General features: G+C 38.4%; 1 protein-coding gene across 10 annotated transcripts in view; it reads right to left on the bottom strand.

Annotated features, from left to right (window-relative positions):
• TNFRSF19 (TNF receptor superfamily member 19) overlaps positions 1-17,821 on the bottom strand; it is a 105,682-nt gene that overhangs the window by 70,456 nt on the left and 17,405 nt on the right. For 9 of the 10 annotated variants that reach the window (XM_047430440.1, XM_047430442.1, NM_148957.4 and 6 more), the window contains 2 exons: positions 15,386-15,488; positions 12,183-12,293 (listed from right to left, as the gene is read on the bottom strand). The exons of the other annotated variant lie outside the window; for it this stretch is intronic. In XM_047430440.1, coding sequence (XP_047286396.1) covers positions 12,183-12,293; positions 15,386-15,454 — 180 coding nt within the window. In that variant the 5' untranslated portion in view covers positions 15,455-15,488. The remainder of the gene's footprint in view (positions 1-12,182; positions 12,294-15,385; positions 15,489-17,821) is intronic. 10 annotated transcript variants of the gene reach the window in all.

Genomic DNA, 17,821 nt, shown 5'->3' with positions numbered 1-17,821 from the left:
TTTCCTTCTAGTGCAGAGTAATATTCCATTGTAGGGATCACAGCTTATTTACCCACCCCTTACTAAAGTACCGCTGGGTTGCTTTCAAGTCTTCATAATTATGAACAAACCTGCTATAAGTATCTGTGTGCAGGTATCTGTATAAGCGTTAAGTGTCCATTCCTTTGATAAAATACTAAGTAGCTCAATTGCTGGATCAAATAATAAGAGTATGCTTAGTTTTGTAAGACACTGCCAAGTTGTCTTCCAAATGGCTGTACCATTTTGCATTCCCACTAGCAAGGAATGAGAACTCCTGTTACTCCACATCCTTAACAGCCTTCAATGTTGTCTGTGTTCTGGATTCTGGATTCTGGATTTCTAATAGGTGTACGGTGATATCGCGTTGCTTAAATTTGCATTTCCCTGATGACATACTATATGGAGGATCTTTTCATATGCTTATTTGCCATCTGTGTATCTTCTTTGGTGAGGTGTTTGTTAAGGTCTTTTACCCATTTTTAAATTGGATTTGTTTGTTTTCTCAGTGTTAAGAATTTTTTGTATGTTTTGAATAACAGTCCTTTTTCAGATATCTTTTACAAATGTTTTCCACCAATTTCTGGCTTGTATTTCCATTCTCTCAACAGTGTCTTATGCAGAGTGGAAATTTTCAATTTTAATTAAGTCTAGCTTATTAATTCTTTCTTTCATAGGTTGTGCCTTTGGTGTCATATAAAACAGTCATCACCAAACCCAAGGTCTTCTAGAGAAAATCTTCTAGGAGTTTTATAGCTTTGCATTTTACAGTTAGGTCTGTGACCTGTTTTGAGTTAGGTGTGTCTAGATTCATTTTTTGCATGTGGATGTCAAGTTGTTTTAGATCCATTTGTTGAAGACTCTATCTTTTCTCCATCATGTTGTTTGCTACTTTGTCAAAGACCAGATGACTACACTTAGCTGGGTCTATTCCTGGGCTCTCTATTCTGTTCCACTGATTGGTTTGTCTCTTCTTTTGTCAATACCACACTGTCTTGATTACTATATGTTTACAGTAAGTCTTGATGTGGGTAGTGTCAATCCTCCAACTTTTTCTTCTAAATAACTGTGTTGATTATTCTGGGTCTTTTGCCTCTACATATAAACTTTAGAATCAGTTTGTCAATATCTACAAAATAACTTGCTGGGACTTTGATTGGGATTCCATTGAATCTATAAATCAAGTTGAGAAACACTGACATCTTGACAATATTGAATCTTCCTCTCCATAAACATGGAATATCTCTCCATTTATTTAGTTCTTCTTTTATTTCTTTCATCAGAGTCTTGTAATTTTCCTCATAAAGATCTTGTACATATTTTGTTAGACTTATCCCTAGGTATTTTATTTTGGGGGGGGTGCTAATATAAATTATATTGTGTTTTTAATTTCAAATCCCACTTGTTCACTGACAGTATATATGAAAGTTACTGACTTTTGTACATTAACCAGGTATCTTGAAATATTACTATAATTGCTTATTCATTCCAGGAGTTTTTCTGTTAATTCTCTTGCATTTTCTACATAGATGATTATGCCATATGTGAACAAGGAGAAGTTTATTTCTTCCTTCCAAATCAGTTTACCTTTTATTTCTTTTTTTTTATTTTGTCTTGGTGCATGAGGTAGGATTTCTTGTATGATGCTGAAAATGAGTGGTGAAAGGGAACATCCTTGCCTTGTTCCTGATCTTAGTGGAAAGCTTCTAGTTTCCATCATTAAGTATGATATCAACTCTAGAGTTTTGGTTTTGTTGTGGTTGTTGTAGAAATTCTTTACCAAGTAGAGGAAATTCCTTTCCATTCCTAGTTTACTGAGAGGTTTTTGTTGTTGTTGTTGTTTAATCATGAATGGGTGTTAGATTTTTCAAATGCTTTTTGTGCACTTACTGCTATATGTGATTTTTTTCCCCTTTAGCCCACTGATGTGACATATTACATTAACTGAATTTCAAAGGCTGAACCAGCCTTGTGTATGTGGGATAAATCCCATTTTGTCACAGTGTGTGATTTTTTTAATATACATTGTTGGATTCAATTTGCTAATATTTTGTTGAGAATTTTTGTATCTTTGTTCATGAGAGATATTGGTCTATAGTTTCTTTGTAAAGTCTTTGGTTTAGGCATTAGGGTGATTTCTGGCCTCACAGAATGAGTTAGAAAGTATTTTCTCTGCTATATTCTGGAAGAAGTTGTGGATAATGAGTATAATTTCTTCTTCATTTTTGGTAGAATTCACCAGTAAATTCACTTTAACTTGGTGCTCTCTGTTTTGGAAGGTTATGAATTATTGATTCAATTTCTTCAGTCAATATAGGCCTATACAGACTGTGGATTTCTTCTTGTGTGAGCTTTGTCAGACTGCGTCTTTCAAGGAATTGATTCATTTCATCTAGGTTACCAAATGTGTGGGCACTGAGTTGTTCACAGCATTTCTAATGTTCCTATAGTGATGTCCATGCTTTCATTACTGATATTAGTACTTTGTGTCCTCTCCCTTATTTTCTAAGTTGGCCTAGTTAGAGGACCATCAGTTTTATTGAATTTTTTCAAAGAATCACCTTTTGGTGATTCTTCACTCTCTCCAGAGTTTCTGTTTTTAATTTCATTGATTTCTGCTTTAATAGTTATTTATTTTATTCTGCTTACTCTGAATTTAATTTGTTCTTCTTTTTCTAGTTTTATAAGGTATAAGCTTAGATCACCAATTTTGGCTCTTTCTTTTTTCTAATATGTGCCTTCAGTACCCCCTGAGCACTGGTTCACTGCATCCCACAAATTTTGACAAGTTCTGTTTTCATTTTCATTTAGTTCAAAATATTTTTAAATTTATCTTGCAATATCCTCTTTGACCCATGTGTTATTTAGAAGTGTGTTCTTAATCTCCAAGTATTTTAGAGTTTTCCAGCTATCTTTCTGTTATTGATTGCTAGTTTTATTCCATTGTGATCTGACAGCAGACACTATACGATTTCTATGCTTTTACCTTTGTTAAGGTGTGTTTTATGGCCCCATATGTGGTCTAGCTTGGTGAATTTTCCATGACAGCTTAAGAATAATGTGTCTTTTGCTGTTGCTGAATGAAGTTGTCTATAGGTGTCAGTTATATCCAGTTGATTGATGGTGTTGAGTCCAACTATGTCCATATTGACTTTCTGCCTGCTGAATCTGTCCATTTCTGATAGTGTTGAAGTCTCCAACTACAGTAGTGGATTTATCTATATCTCCTTGTAGTTCTATCAGTTTTTGTCCCACATGGTTTGATTCTCTGTTGCTAGGGGCATACCCATTAAAGATTATTATAATTTCTTAGACAATTAGCTCCCTTATGATTATATGATGTCCATCTTTATCCCTGACATCTGTCTTTGCTTTGAAGTCTGCTCTGTCTGAAATTAATATAGCTACTCCTGCTCTTCTGATTAGTGTTAGCATGGTATATATTTCTCCATCCACTTACTTTTCATCTATGTGTGTCTTCATATTTGAAGTGGGTTCTTGTAGACCACAGAGTTGGATCTTGTTTTTTGACCTGCTCTGATAATGTTTATAAATTGGTACATCAGATCACTGACACTGAAAATGATTATTGATATAGTTGGGCTAATAGTTACCATATATATTACTGTTTTCCATTTCTTGGCCTTCTTATTTGTTCTTATTTCTGTCTTCCACATTTTCCCTTTTGTAGTTTTAATTGAGCATTTTATGTGGTTTCATTTTATCTCCTTTCTTAGCATATCAGTTATACTTCTTTTTATACTTGTTTTAACGGTTGCCCTAGAGGTTGCACTATACATTTATAACCAGTCCAAGCCTCCTTTCAACTAACACTGTACTACTTCACAGATAGTGTGAATACCTTATAACAACAAAATAATTCTAATTCCTCCTCCTCACCCTTTGTATCATTGCTGTAATTAATTTCACTTATGTGTGTGTGTGTGTGTACACACAAGCATACTCAATCAAATACATTGTTTCTATTATTAGTTTGAACACACTATCATCTATTACATCAATTAAGAATAGGAAAATTAAAGTTTTTATTTTACCTTCACTTAGCACTTCTTTGATGCTCTTTTATGTAGATCCATGTTTCTGACCTATATTATTTTCCTTCTGTCTAAAGAACTTCTTTTAACATTTCTTACATGGCAGGTCTACTGGTAACAAATTCCCTCAATTGATTGAGAAAGTCTTTATTTGTCCTTAACTCTTGAAGGAAAATTTCTCAGGGTACAGAATTTTAGGTGCTATTTTCTCAATACTTTAAATGTTTCACTGCACTCTCTTCTGCCTTGCATGATTTCTGAGTAAAAGTCAGATGTCATTCTTATCTCTGCTCCTCTGTACATATGGCGTTTTTTTCCCTCTAGTTTCTTGGAGGGTTTTTTCTTTGTTTTTCTGCAATTTGCAAATGATATACTTGGTGTCATTTTTGGGCATTTATCTTGCTTGGTGTTCTCTGAGTTTCCTGGATCTGCAGTTTGGTGTCTGGCATTAACTTGGGAAAATTCTAAGTCATTATTGTTTCAAATATTTCTTCTGTTCCTTTCCCTGATTAGCATATTAAATCAGAATATTCATGATTAATGCTATTAGCATATTAATCATAGTTGTTCTTGATTCTCTCTGATAACTCCAAGATCCCTGCCAAGTCTGGTTCTGATGCTTGCATTGTCTCTTCAAATTGTATTTTTTGCCTTTTAGTATGCTTTGTACATTTTTGTCAAATGTCATACATGATACACTGGGTAGAAGGAGCTGCTATAAACAGGCCTTTAGTAATGTGGAGGTGAGATGTGAAGGAAAGGGCAGCTTTCCATAGTCCTGTGCAGGCCTGTGCCTCTGTACTGTAAGCTTCCCCAGTGCCTCTCCCTTAAATGGGAGAGAATGGCTGGAGCAGACTGAGTCAGTATTTCCCTTCCCCAGGTCAGTTAGGCTCTGATAAAACCCCAGCAGGTGAGCCTTTGGTGTATGTGTTTCTCTTGAGGGCAGTCCTTGTTAAGAAAAAGAGCACTCTAGCATATTTCAAAATGTTCCTTTTCTGCCTCCCCTGTCAGAAAAACAAGGGATTTTTTTGTTTTGTTTTGTTTTGATTTTGACATTTACTATGAAAATCGGTTTGAGTTCCTGGAAGTAAAACTCACAAAAGCATGGGAGGGTGCTCTATGAGTGGGTCCTCCTGGAGTTTTAACTCTCAGACTTTTCCAAACCTAGGCTACAGCAGGCTGTCAATAACAGTGCAGGTTTCCCACCCTGGTGCTGGCTCCAGGGGAGGCTTCTGCAGCAGTGTATTGTGATTCTCTGTAGCTGCCTGCGACCTCACTTCTCTTGCAGATCTAAGAGCTGCGGACTTTTCAGTTTGTTCAGCTTTTTACTTCCTGTTGGGATAGAGTGACAACCTCTAAATTCCTCATATATATGAAATCAGAAATGGAAAAATGATTTCTTAATCAACAAAAATATTAAGGCTAATAGGACTTTCATCTTATGGTCTGATTCTCCAAAAATTAACTTAAGGTTATATTCTGCAGATTCAAAGGATGAATATAAGACAGTAATTTCTTAGAAACTATTCACTCATGTCTCAGAATCTGTGAAGTTTCATTCAGATTTTCACTGAGATTTGGGAAAAGAAGAATGTTTGAGGAAAAGAAAATGTCATCATCTTTAAACGAAAATTAAAATTCTAAGCCCCCACCATCTGAATGGACCCCCCCTCTTGGCCAAGGACATTCCAAAGTTAACCTGAAAAACTAGTTCAGGACAGGATGGAAAGGGGGCGCCAGACATGCCTCATGGTACCCTCCTCCCTTCCGGAATTACTGATGGAACAGACTCTTTCAGTCTGATAAGAAAACACTTACAATCTATTCTCTCTGAAGTCTGCTACCTGGAGGCTTCATCTGCATGATAAAACCTTGGTCTCTAAAACCCCTTATCTTAACCCTTTCTATTGACATTCCTTTCTATTGACTCTAGGCATTCCTTTCTATTGACTCCAGGTCTTTAGATAATAACCAATAGCCAATCAGAAAATCCTGCAATCCACCTGTGACCTGGAATCCCCCTTCCCCTACCTGCTCCCCACTCCCAGTTGTCCTGCCTTTCCAGACTGAACCAATGTTGAGTAATGTCTTATGTCTCCCTAAATTGTATAAAACCAACTTGTAGCCCTACCACCTTGGACACATGCTGTCAGGATCTCTCGAGGGCTGTGTCATGGGCCACTGGTCACACATTTTTGGCTCAGAATAAATCTCTTCAAATATTTTACAGAGTTTCACTCTTTCCATCAGCAGTCTATTTTCCTCTTGGGCATGATGGCATTTTTAAATACTTTGTTCACTGATCCTAGATATGTCAACCTGTTAAAAATTAATCTTTTTACACCCCACACAGAAAAATCTATGTCTGAAAGTACTTGTTACTGTAATCAACAGGGGTTGAAAAATACCTGTTGAGATGCTACTGTTAATGAGATATCACACAGACTTTGAAGGTCAGTCAGTTTCAATCCAAATGTAAAGCCCAGGATACTAAAAGCCACCACTCATTTAACACAAAAGCCAGAGAGAAACGCTATCTATCAGAAGCCACTTGCAGAATGCATAATTCTTTGTTTCCTGCTGTTTATAGATCATTGATCAAAAATCTATGAATGACAAGACTCAACTGTAGATAATGGCAGTCTGTAGGGGAAAAGGACTTCTCTTTAAAAGTCCCTTTAAATAAAAAGAAAAATCTATTGTTCCTTTTCTAACAGAAAGGCTTTGATGTTTTATTTAAAACAAAACAATACATCACTTCTCCACAACTAGTAACATCTTCAAAAGATCAGCAAATAAAGCAAATGGATGTATAGCTCTGAACGTGCTCACAAGAAAAGGCAGGCTTCAAAACATCCAAGACTGTGAAATGTGTCCTGATATAACACACACTAACACACAGTTTCTTAGCACATAGTGGTTGAAATGAATATATTTAAAGTGCTCCTGGGAGTAACATACACTCACTGTGGTGAGATCAATAATAAGACACATACTGTCAAAGGAATGTTCAAAACCATGGTTTGGAAAATGCCTGCTATCTCAGAGCATCTTTATTTAAGACACTGGCAGGCTCTACTTCTTGACAAGTAATGCTGACATTCATTTTAAGAAAAAGAAGTCCCAGTAAGTAGTAGCATTCATGATTTCTGTTATCAATGATTTAGGGTTTATATATATATATAACTGTAAGTTCTGGGATACATGTGCAGAACGTGCAGGTTTGTTACATAGGTATAAATGTGCCATGGTGGTTTGCTGCACCCATCAATCCATCATCCACATTAGGTATTTCTCCTAATGCTATCCCTCCCCTTGTCGCCCACCCCATGACAGGGCCTGGTGTGTAATGTTCCCCTCCCTGTGTCCATGTGTTCTCATTGTTCAATGAGAATGGGAATGCTTCCAGCTTTTGCCCATTCACTATGATATTAGCTGTGGGTTTGTCATAAATAGCTCTTATTATTTCCAGATACATTCAATCAATACCTAGTTTATTGAGAGTTTTTAGCATGACGGGGTGAATTTTGTCAAAGGTCTTTTCTGCATCTACTGAGATAATCATGTGGTTTTTGTCATTGGTTCTGTTTATGTGATGGATTACATTTATTGTTTTGAGTATATTGAACCAGCCTTGCATCCTAGGGATGAAGCCGACTTGATTGTGGTGGATAAGCTTTTTGATGTGCTGCTGGATTCAGTTTGCCAGTATTTTATTGAGGATTTTCGCATTGATGTTCATCAGGGATATTGGCCTGAAATTTTCTTTTTTTGTTGTGTCTCTGCCAGGTTTTGATATCAGGATGATGCTGACCTCATAAAATGAGTTAGAGAGGAGTCCCTCTTTTTCTATTGATTGGAATAATTTCAGAAGGAATGGTACCAGCTCCTCTTTGTACCTCTGGTAGAATTCGGCTGTGAATCCATCTGGTCCTGAGCTTTTTTTGGTTGGTAGGCTATTAATTATTGCCTCAATTTCAGAACTTGTTATTGGTCTATTCAGGGATTTAACTTCTTCCTGGTTTAGTCTAGGGAGGGTGTATGTGTCCAGGAATTTATCAATTTCTTCTAGATTTTCTAATTTATTTGCATAGAGGTGTTTATAGTATTCTCTGATGGTAGTTTGTATTTCTGTGGGATCAGTGGTGATATCCCCTTTATCATTTTTTTATTGTTTCCATTTGATTCTTTTCTCTTTTCATCTTTATTAGTCTAGCTAGCGATCTATCTATTTTGTTAATCTTTTAAAAAAAACAGCTCCTGGATTAATTGATTTTTAAAGGGTTTTTTGGTGTCTCTATCTCCTTCAGTTCTGCTCTGATCTTAGTTGTTTCCTGTCTTCTGCTAGCTTTTGAATTTGTTTGCCCTTGCTTCTCTAGTTCTTTTAATTGTGATGTTAGGGTGTCAATTTTAGATCTTTTCCACTTTCTCCTGTGGGCATTTAGTGCTATAAACTTCCTTCTAAATGCTACTTTAGCTGTATCCCAGAGATTCTGGTACATTGTGTCTTTGTTCTCTTTGGTTTCAAATAACTTATTTATTTCTGCCTTAATTTTGTTATTTACCCAGTAGTCATTCAGGAGGTTGTTCAGTTTCCATGTAGTTGTGCGGCTTTGAGTGAGTTTCTCAATCCTGAGTTCTAATTTGATTGCACTGTGGTCTGAGAGACTGTTATGATTTCCATTCTTTTGCATTTGCTGAGGAGCATTTTACTTCCAAATATGTGGTCAATTTTAGAGTAAGTGCGATGTGGTGCTGAGAAGAATGTACATTCTGTTGATTAGGGGTGGAGAGTTCTGTAGATGTCTATTAGGTCCAATTGATCCAGAGCTGAGTTTGGTCCTGAATATCCTTGTTAATTTTCTGTCTCGTTGATCTGTCTAATATTGACAGTGGGGTGTTAAAGTCTCCCACTATTATTGTGTGGGAGTCCAGGTCTCTTTGTGTAGGTCTCTAAGAACTTGCTTTGTAAATCTGGGTGCTCCTGTATTGGGTGCATAAATATTTAGGATAGTTAGCCCTTCCATTCCTCTTGTTGCATTGATCCCTTATACCATTATGTAATTCCCTTGTCTTTTGCAATCTTTGTTGCTTTAAAGTCTTTTATCAGAGACTAGGATTGCAACCCCTGCTTTTTTTTGCTTTCCATTTGCTTAGTAAATATTCCTCCATCCCTTTATTTTGAGCCTATGTGTGTCTTTGCACGTGAGATGGATCTCCTGAATACTGCACACTGATGGGTCTTGACTCTTTATCCAATTTGCCAGTCTAATTGGTGTATTTAGCCCATTTACATTTAAGGTTAATATTGTTATATGTGAATTTGATCCTGTCATTATGATGCTAGCTGGTTATTTTGCCTGTTGATGCAGTTTCTTCATAGTGTCAATGGTCTTTACAATTTGGTATGTTTTTGTAGTGCCTGGTACCAGTTTTTCCTTTCCATATTCAGTGCTTCCTTCAGGAGCTCTTGTAAGGCAGGCCTGGTGGTGACAAAATCTCTCAGCATTTGCTTGTCTGTAAAGGAGTTTATTTCTCCGTCACTTATGAAGCTTAGTTTGGCTGGATATGAAATTCTGGGTTGAAAATTCTTTTCTTTAAGAATGTGGAATACTGGCCCCCACTCTCTTCTGGCTTGTAGGGTTTCTGCAGAGAGATCCACTGTTAGTCCGATGGGTTTCCCTTTGTGGGTAACCTGACCTTTCTCTCTGGCTGCCCTTAACATTTTTTCCTTTATTTCAACCTTTGTGAATCTGAAGATTATGTGTCTTGGGGTTGCTCGTCTTGAGGAGTATCTTTGTGGTGTTCTCTGTATTTCCTGAATTTGAATGTTGGCCTCTCTTGCTAGGTTGGGAAAGTTTTCCTGGATAATATCCTGAAGAGTGTTTTCCAACTTGGTTCCATTCTCCCCGTCACTTTCAGGGACACCAATAAAATGTAGGTTTGGTCTTTTCACATAGTCTCATATTTCTTGCAGGCTTTGTTTGTTCCTTTTCATTCTTTTTTCTCTAATCTTGTCTTCACGCTTTATTTCATTAAGTTGATTTTCAATCTCTGATATCCTTTCTTCTGCCTGATTGATTCAGCTATTGATACTTGTGTATGCTTCATGAAGTTCTTGTGCTGTGTTTTTCAGCTCCATCAGGTCATTTATGTTCTTCTCTAAACTGGTTATTCTAGTCAGCAATTCCTCTAACCTTTTTTCAAGATTCTTAGCTTCCTTGCATTGGGTTAGAACATGCTCCTTTAGCTTGGTGACGTTTGTTATTACCCACCTTCTGAAGCCTACTTCTGTCAATTTGTCAAACTCATTCTCTGCCAGTTTTGTTCTCTTGCTGGCAAGGAGTTGTGATCCTTTGGAGGAGAAGAGATGTTCTGGTTTTTGGAATTTTCAGCCTTTTTGCACTGGTTTTTCCTCATCTTTGTGGATTTATCTACCTTTAGTCTTTGATGCTGGTGACCTTTGGATGGGGTTTTTGTGTAGATGCCCTTTTTGTTGATGCTATTCCTTTCTGTGTGTTAGTTTTCCTACAAACAGTCAGGCCCTTTGCTTCAGGTCTGCTGGAGTTTGTTGGAGGTCCACTCCAGACCCTGTTTGCCTGGGTATCATTGGCAGAGGCTGCAGAACAGCAAAGACTGCTGCCTGTTCCTTCCTCTGGAAGCTTCGTCCCAAAGGGGCACCCACCAGATGCCAGCCAGAGCTCTCCTGTATGAGGTGTCTGGCGACCCCTGCTGGGAGGTGTCTCCCAATCGGGAGGCTGGGGGGTCAGCGACCCACTTGAGGAGGCAGTCTGTCCCTTAGCAGAGCTCGAGTGCTTTGCTGGGAGATCTGCTGCTTTCTTCAGAACTGGCAGGCAGGAACGTTTAAGTCTGCTGAAGCTGCACCCACAGCCACCCCTTCCCTGAAGTGCTCTGTTCCAGGGAGATGGGAGTTTATCTATAAGCCCCTCACTGGGGCTGCTGCCTTTCTTTCCCTTTCTTTCAGGGATGCCCTCCCCAGAGAGGAGGAATCTAGAAAGGCAGTCTGGCTACAGTGGCTTTGCCAAGCTGTGGCGGGATCCACCCAGTTTGAACTTCCAGGTGGCTTTGTTTACACTGTGAGGGGAAAACCACCTACTCAATCCTCAGTAATGGCAGACGCCCCTCCCCTCACCATGCTTGAGTGTCCCAGGTGGACTTCACACTGCTGTGCTGGCAGTGAGAATTTCAAGCCAGTGGATCTTAGCTTGCTGGGCTCCATGGGAGTTGGATCTGCTGAGCTAGACCATTTGTCTCCCTGGCTTCATCCCCCTTTCCAGGGGAGTGAATGGTTCTGTCTCGCTGGTGTTCCAGATGCCACTAGGGTATGAAAAAAAAACTCCTGCAGCTAGCTCAGTGTCTGCCCAAACAGCTGCCCAGTTTTGTGCTTAAAACTCAGGGCCCCAGTGGTGTAGGCACCTAAGGGAATCTCCTGGTCTGTGGGTTGCACAGACAATGGGAAAAGCGTAGTATCCGGGTTGGAGTGCACCATTACTCATGGCACAGTCCCTCAAGGCTTCCCTTGGTGAGGGGGAGGAGTACCCGGACCCCTTGCACTTCCCAGGTGAAGTGACACCCCATCCTGCTTTGGCTCACCCTCCATGGGCTGCACCCACTGTCTAACCAGTCCCAATGAGATGAGCTGGGTACCTCAGTTGGAAATGCAGAAAACACCTGCCTTCTGCACTGATCTCGCTGGGAGCTGCAGATCAGAGTTGTTCCTATTCGGCCATCTTGCTAGCCACCACACAATGCTTTAGTTTTAAATCTTCAGTGGAATTTCAGTTGTTATTGATTAATGCAAATTAACCTTAAAAATTTTACTGTTTTAGTGAAACACTACAAATTTTAAATTATATAAAACAATGACATCTGTTGAATTCTGGGTTTGAGAACCTATTTATCTCAGTAAGACACATGAATCAAAAGTATTAAAAAAGGAATTGTATGATATTTGGCTAAAGTGACATAATGATCCAATAATTCTGTCATGGTATCCAAAGTTTCATTAATAATTAACTCAAAGAATTGAGTTAAGACGAATGCATTTTACAAACACAGATACACAACTTTGCCATGTATCCAATATACCTTAGACAACTCCATGCCTGGCCCACACTGGTTGCAGGGAACACAGTTTCCAGACCGATCCCTGAATTCTTGCTGTCTACAGTCTCCTGATTCACAAGTCACTTTACATGACTGAAAAAAAAAATTTAACAAAATGTTATCTTAAAGTATGTTAAACATTTTTTTTTGCAAGAAAGGAACAATATTTTCAATATTAGTCACACAATCACTGAATGTAAATATCAGTTCAAGTCAATTCAATGTTCACTTTAGGAAGAAAACACACTTTCTGAATAAGTCAGTGGAACAACTAAATCAATAAGCCAAATTCTTCTCTGTATTCCAGAGAATACTCATTGATTCTCTAAACAGGGTATCCCATTTTCTTGGAATTAACTGCTATCCTCCTCAGATACCCTCTGGGACTCAAGATATGACATGACTTAGGAGCTGTTCTCTTCTCTAAGTAAGAAGATATTTAAAAAAAAAACAGTTATGACTTTCTTTGATATATGACCCAAGGTCCTTTTGCTACCAGAAAAAAATCTGAATTGAAAAATTTTTCAATCTAAGAAATATAAACATATTCAAGTATAATGAATTAAATAAATTGAATAATTAGTATAGCCACAAGAGCGTAGCCACAAGAACTTCGCAATTATCGTTTAGACTTATCTGCCATGCGGTTTTGATGAGGAAGTTTCAACCCTTTTCAACTGAACTACATTTCCTTAGAGGATGTCTTTCAAATAATAATTTCTAACAATCAGGACACCAGTAAAATCCTTGGTGATGATGATAAAGATGGCAGTAGTGGCCCAACTCTCGGAACTCTTCAAAGTAGAAGTGCCATCCAAATCTGAGCTTATGCCTTTACTGATTACCACTGAGCCACTGCCTGGGACCTAACAGTATGCTTTGGTTCACAGCATAGGACTTAAATGGAAAATGTATACTTAGGCAAAAACAGAGGTTATTTGTCATTTTCCAAAATATAGCTTTTTTCTCTTATTTTTTCTGAAAACAACAAGTTCTCCTTGTAAGATATCATCCTAGAAAAGTATGTTTATCTGCTTAACGGACAGTATTTCATGAGTAATGCTGGTATTAGCAGCATCACAGAATTGGTGAAGACGTTTGGTCCAACCCCTTACCCTAAGCAAGAATGCCCTGAATAGTGCTACTGACGCGGTTCTGTTTTCCTTAATGGAAGCTGAAAATCTTAGGAGGAACTGGGGTAACAGACACTGCTGTTCTGTCTAATGCTTACCACACAGTTGAGCACAGGACATTGTTTTTGATGCATATAATTCTGTACAAACCTTCTCCACCTTGAAGCAGGAATATCTGTGAAGATATCTAACAACCTCTTTAAGGTCAAAGGTTTAATATCTAGGGCAAGCAGGAGGAAGAATTCAAGGTGAGGTTTGAGACTAGAAAATTCTTTGAGACAGACAGGCACGGTGGCTCACACCTGTAATCCTAGCACCTTGGAAGGCCCAGGTGGGCAGATCACGAGGTCAAGAGATTGAGACCATCCTGGCCAACATGGTGAAACCTTGTCTCTACCAAAAATACAAAAATTAGCTAGGTGTGGTGGTGCGCACCTGTAGTCCCAGCTACTTGCAAGGGCTGAGGCAGGAGAATCACTTGAAACTGGGAAGCGGAGGTTGCAGTGAGCCAAGATCGCACCACTGCACTCCAGCCTGGTGACAAAGCGAAACTTCGTCTCAAAAAAAAAAAAAAAAGAAAGAAAGAAAGAAAATTTTTAAGGCTATAAAGATTCTTGCCTCAACTCCTCCTCAACTCCCAGTCTTGCAGTTTACTTATTTATAAGGGGTAGGAGCTTCCCTTCCACCACAGAGAGACCGTAAAGAGAAAGAAATTACACAACCTTCCTCTTAGACCATTATTCAATGTTTAACAGCCTCCAATTACAGCAGGGAAGCTCTCCTACATTCACCTGAATCCCACTTTGTCTTTATTTTTTTATTTTTTTTATTTGTATCTATTTATTTATTTCTGAGACAAAGTCTCACTCTGTTGCCCAGGCTAGAGTGCAGTGGCGTGATCTCAGCTCACTGAAACCTCCGCCTCCCATGTTCAAGCGATTCTCCTACCTCATCCTCTCAAGTAGCTAGGATTACAGGTGTGCATCACCACACCCAGGTAATTTTTGTATTTTTAGTAACAATGAGGTCTCACCATGTTGGCCAAGCTGGTATTGAACTCCTCACCTCAAATGATCCACCTGCCTCGGCCTCCCAAAGTGCTGGGATTACAAGCATGAGCCACAGCATCCAGCCTAACCTTGTCTTTCAAGAAAACTTTGCATACTGTCTTCAGTGTAAATCTTTCTTTATATATCTGTAGATCATTATTTTATCACTAGATTAAATAAACTTTGTTCTTTTGAACACATTCATAAATCTTTTGTCAAACTTTCAAATATTAAAATTTTCCATCTGTGTTTCCTGCTTTTTGGAACCAAGAAGAATATAAACAACTATATAAAATAATAACTTTTAAAAATCTATTCTAAATTATTCATAAACTGTGTAGGTCATGGGCTCCAAATTAGAATTTATGGTCTTTTAGCTTCTAGAATATGTTACAAGAGATATATGCCTATAAAGGCAAAATAATATCATCATCATAGTGCCACAAGTAACACTGCAATTTTATGACTTCACCTACATTTAAATAAGATAATTTCAACAATTGTTACATATATCATGAATGAGCAGCAATCTTTCACTTATTAATTACATGCAAAAATAATAAAATGCCATTTGAAAGAGATAAAAACATAATATTGGATCAGAAATAGAAAATAATTTTGGGCTGGGGGTGGTGGCTCATGCCTGTAATCCCGGCACTTTGGGAGGCCAAAGCAGGCGGATCACCTGAGGTCAGGTATTCAAGACCAGCCTGGACAACATGGTGAAACCCCATCTCTACTAAAAATACAAAAATTAGCTGGGAGTGGTGGTGGGTGCCTGTAATCCCAGTGACTCGGGAGGCTGAGGCAGGAGAATCACTTGAACCCGGGAGGCAGAGGTTACAGTGAGCCAAGATTGCACCACTGCACTCCAGCCTGAGCAAAAGAGCAAGACTCTGTCTCAAAAAAAATAAAAAATAAAATGATTTTGGTACTCCTACTACTTATTAGTACATGAATTCTTTCACCACATTCTTATGAAAGAAAAAAGGACTTTACTTACCAAATAGCCTAGTAATACTAAAAGAGTGAAAAACGTTTTCTCTTGTTCTAGTAGCACTTTTAAAGCCATCTTTCTTATCAAATGTATTTATTGTTGGAGAGTTCTAAATAAAAGATAGGAAGATGCAGTTAATATTAAAAACATCAGTGACTGTGCTTTGTTTACTATATAATATCTACCACTTACTATATAGACTAGGTAATAAATATTATTTGTGTTTTAAAAGAAACCACCTTTAAAAAAGAAAAAAGACAAATAATATATAATTATTTTATAACTCATATTATGAGAATTGAAGCTCTGTTTACCTATACATTATATGCAAAACTCTTACAGGCTCTGAGTTCCCAGGCTATACCCGCCTTTATTGATATTTTCTACCCATGTTCTCTACAGCAGCCAATCTACTTCACTCAGCATGAAATTCTATTCAAATAGTGACTATATAAACCTCCCATTTATCTGGGTTTGGACAATGCCAACAGGGTAATAATAGTGATAAAATAACAACTATGTGACAGGTACTATTTTCAGCATGCTAACTCACTTAATCCTCACAACTACTCTAGAAGGTAGATCCTATCATTATTCCCATTTTAGCGATGGGGAAACTCAGAGAGGGCTAAGTAACCTGCCCAAGGTCACATTGCTAGTGAGAGGCACAGCTGGATGCAAACCCAGGTGGAGCATCCCTTTCTACAGCTCCTGTGTCACATACGCCCTGACAGACAATGTGCTATTAAATGAAGACACCAGGCTTGTATCTTGACAACTTCGTCTTCACTAAGAAGCAGACAGACAATATTTTGCATTTATGAATTCTTTCCCAAACCAGAATAGAGCAAAGTATGTATGGCAGAAAAATAAGCATTCATCTTAAAACATCTAAAAGTCATTGACGAGTGATGAAATCACAGGCACTAACCTAACATTTCAATACAAGATAAACCAAGCCTCTTTATCTTTACCAGGAATGATCTAAAATGTAGAACCAAATCTGGCTGTTTTTTACAGATCCACACATGTCCAGAGAAGAGATCAAAAAGAAAAAGCGAAGCCTCATCTGGCTGCACCATCAGGTAGAGAAACAGCGGTTCTGTTTCCTTTAAAGTTGAAGTTTCCAAAACTAACAGATCCCAAGTGGATCATCTGACTTAGAAAGAAACCAGAGCACAGAACCAGAACCATGGGCAAACAGCTCAAGAAAAACAACAACGACAACAACCAAGGAGGCAGAGGGGGCAGAGCTGCCTCCGCTGCAGGCTGAGCGGCTATCAGGGGTGAGCTGACGGGTGCCCCGGAAGTGGCTGAACCCAGATGAACCACGTCCACTGCCTGGGCAGGTCACATTGCCGGGGCAATGAAAAATCATTTACCTTTGTTGAGTGAATGACCCATTTGAAGTGAATTCAAACAGCTTTTTTCACTTTTCCAGCTACTTGGTCATAACTTTTTTTCCTGCTGGCATATCTCAAAATCAACCAGCAATTACTCAACCATGCAACTTACTGCTTGTGTAGACACAGGGTTAGGGTGAGAAGATAAAAATCACATTCTTTGAAGCACATGCTTCAGGTTATTTCTTTCATGATACGATCTTACATTTTAAAAAATGTATTAAGTTCTAAAAGCAAAAAATGTGTAATTTAGGTGGAATTAAAACTAATAAGAAAAAACGGGGATAATGCCAAAGCATTTACACAAAATATGAGACAAAGAAATTGACAAGTCAATCAGTACATACCATATTCGAGCAATTAGTCTGGATAGAATCGTCTAGTGGGATGCTACACTAACTACTGAAAAAGGCAGACAAATTGTGAAGCATTTCTTAACATTGTCACTTTGATGCTACACATCCATAAGGAGACAAAAATAGAACCCATCTCACAGGGGCATTGTGAGGACTAACTGGGCTAACACAAAGTGCTGAGCCCAGCGCCCGGAGCAGTTGCTGATGCTGTTACTGCTGCTGTTGTTATTGAGACCACTACTTATGAGCTGTGCAACCTGGAATAAGTTACTTAACCCTGAGTCTCAGTTTCCTCATCTCTAAATGGGGCAGAATGATAGTACCTACCTCCTGAAATTGCTGTGAGGAATGAGTCTAACAGCTGTAAAGCACTTTCAGGAGAATTAGCTGATGTAAACCGTTTCTGGCACATAATAAGTGCTATAGAATTGTTAGCAACTACTATTGTCCTTCATGTTAATGACATTATTATTGAGGATCAAATGATCCATTAGGATGTGACAGTCCTTGAAGACTGTAATCCGTCGGACAAATAGGAGGCATCTAGGCAGCCGCAGTCAAGTGGCAACAGCTCAGGACCTGGGAGCCTGCAGAAGGCATCTGAAGACTAAGAATCCACTAAGAGTTTGAACCAAGCGTTTATAATGTTGAGTACTGTGCTAATGCTTTAAAAAAGGATAGCT

The sequence above is a fragment of the Homo sapiens genome, chromosome 13 (assembly GCF_000001405.40).
Source record: "Homo sapiens chromosome 13, GRCh38.p14 Primary Assembly".
Classification (NCBI taxonomy): domain Eukaryota; kingdom Metazoa; phylum Chordata; class Mammalia; order Primates; family Hominidae; genus Homo; species Homo sapiens.
Note: the sequence above shows the minus strand (reverse complement) of the source record. Positions and strands in the feature narration are given on the sequence as shown.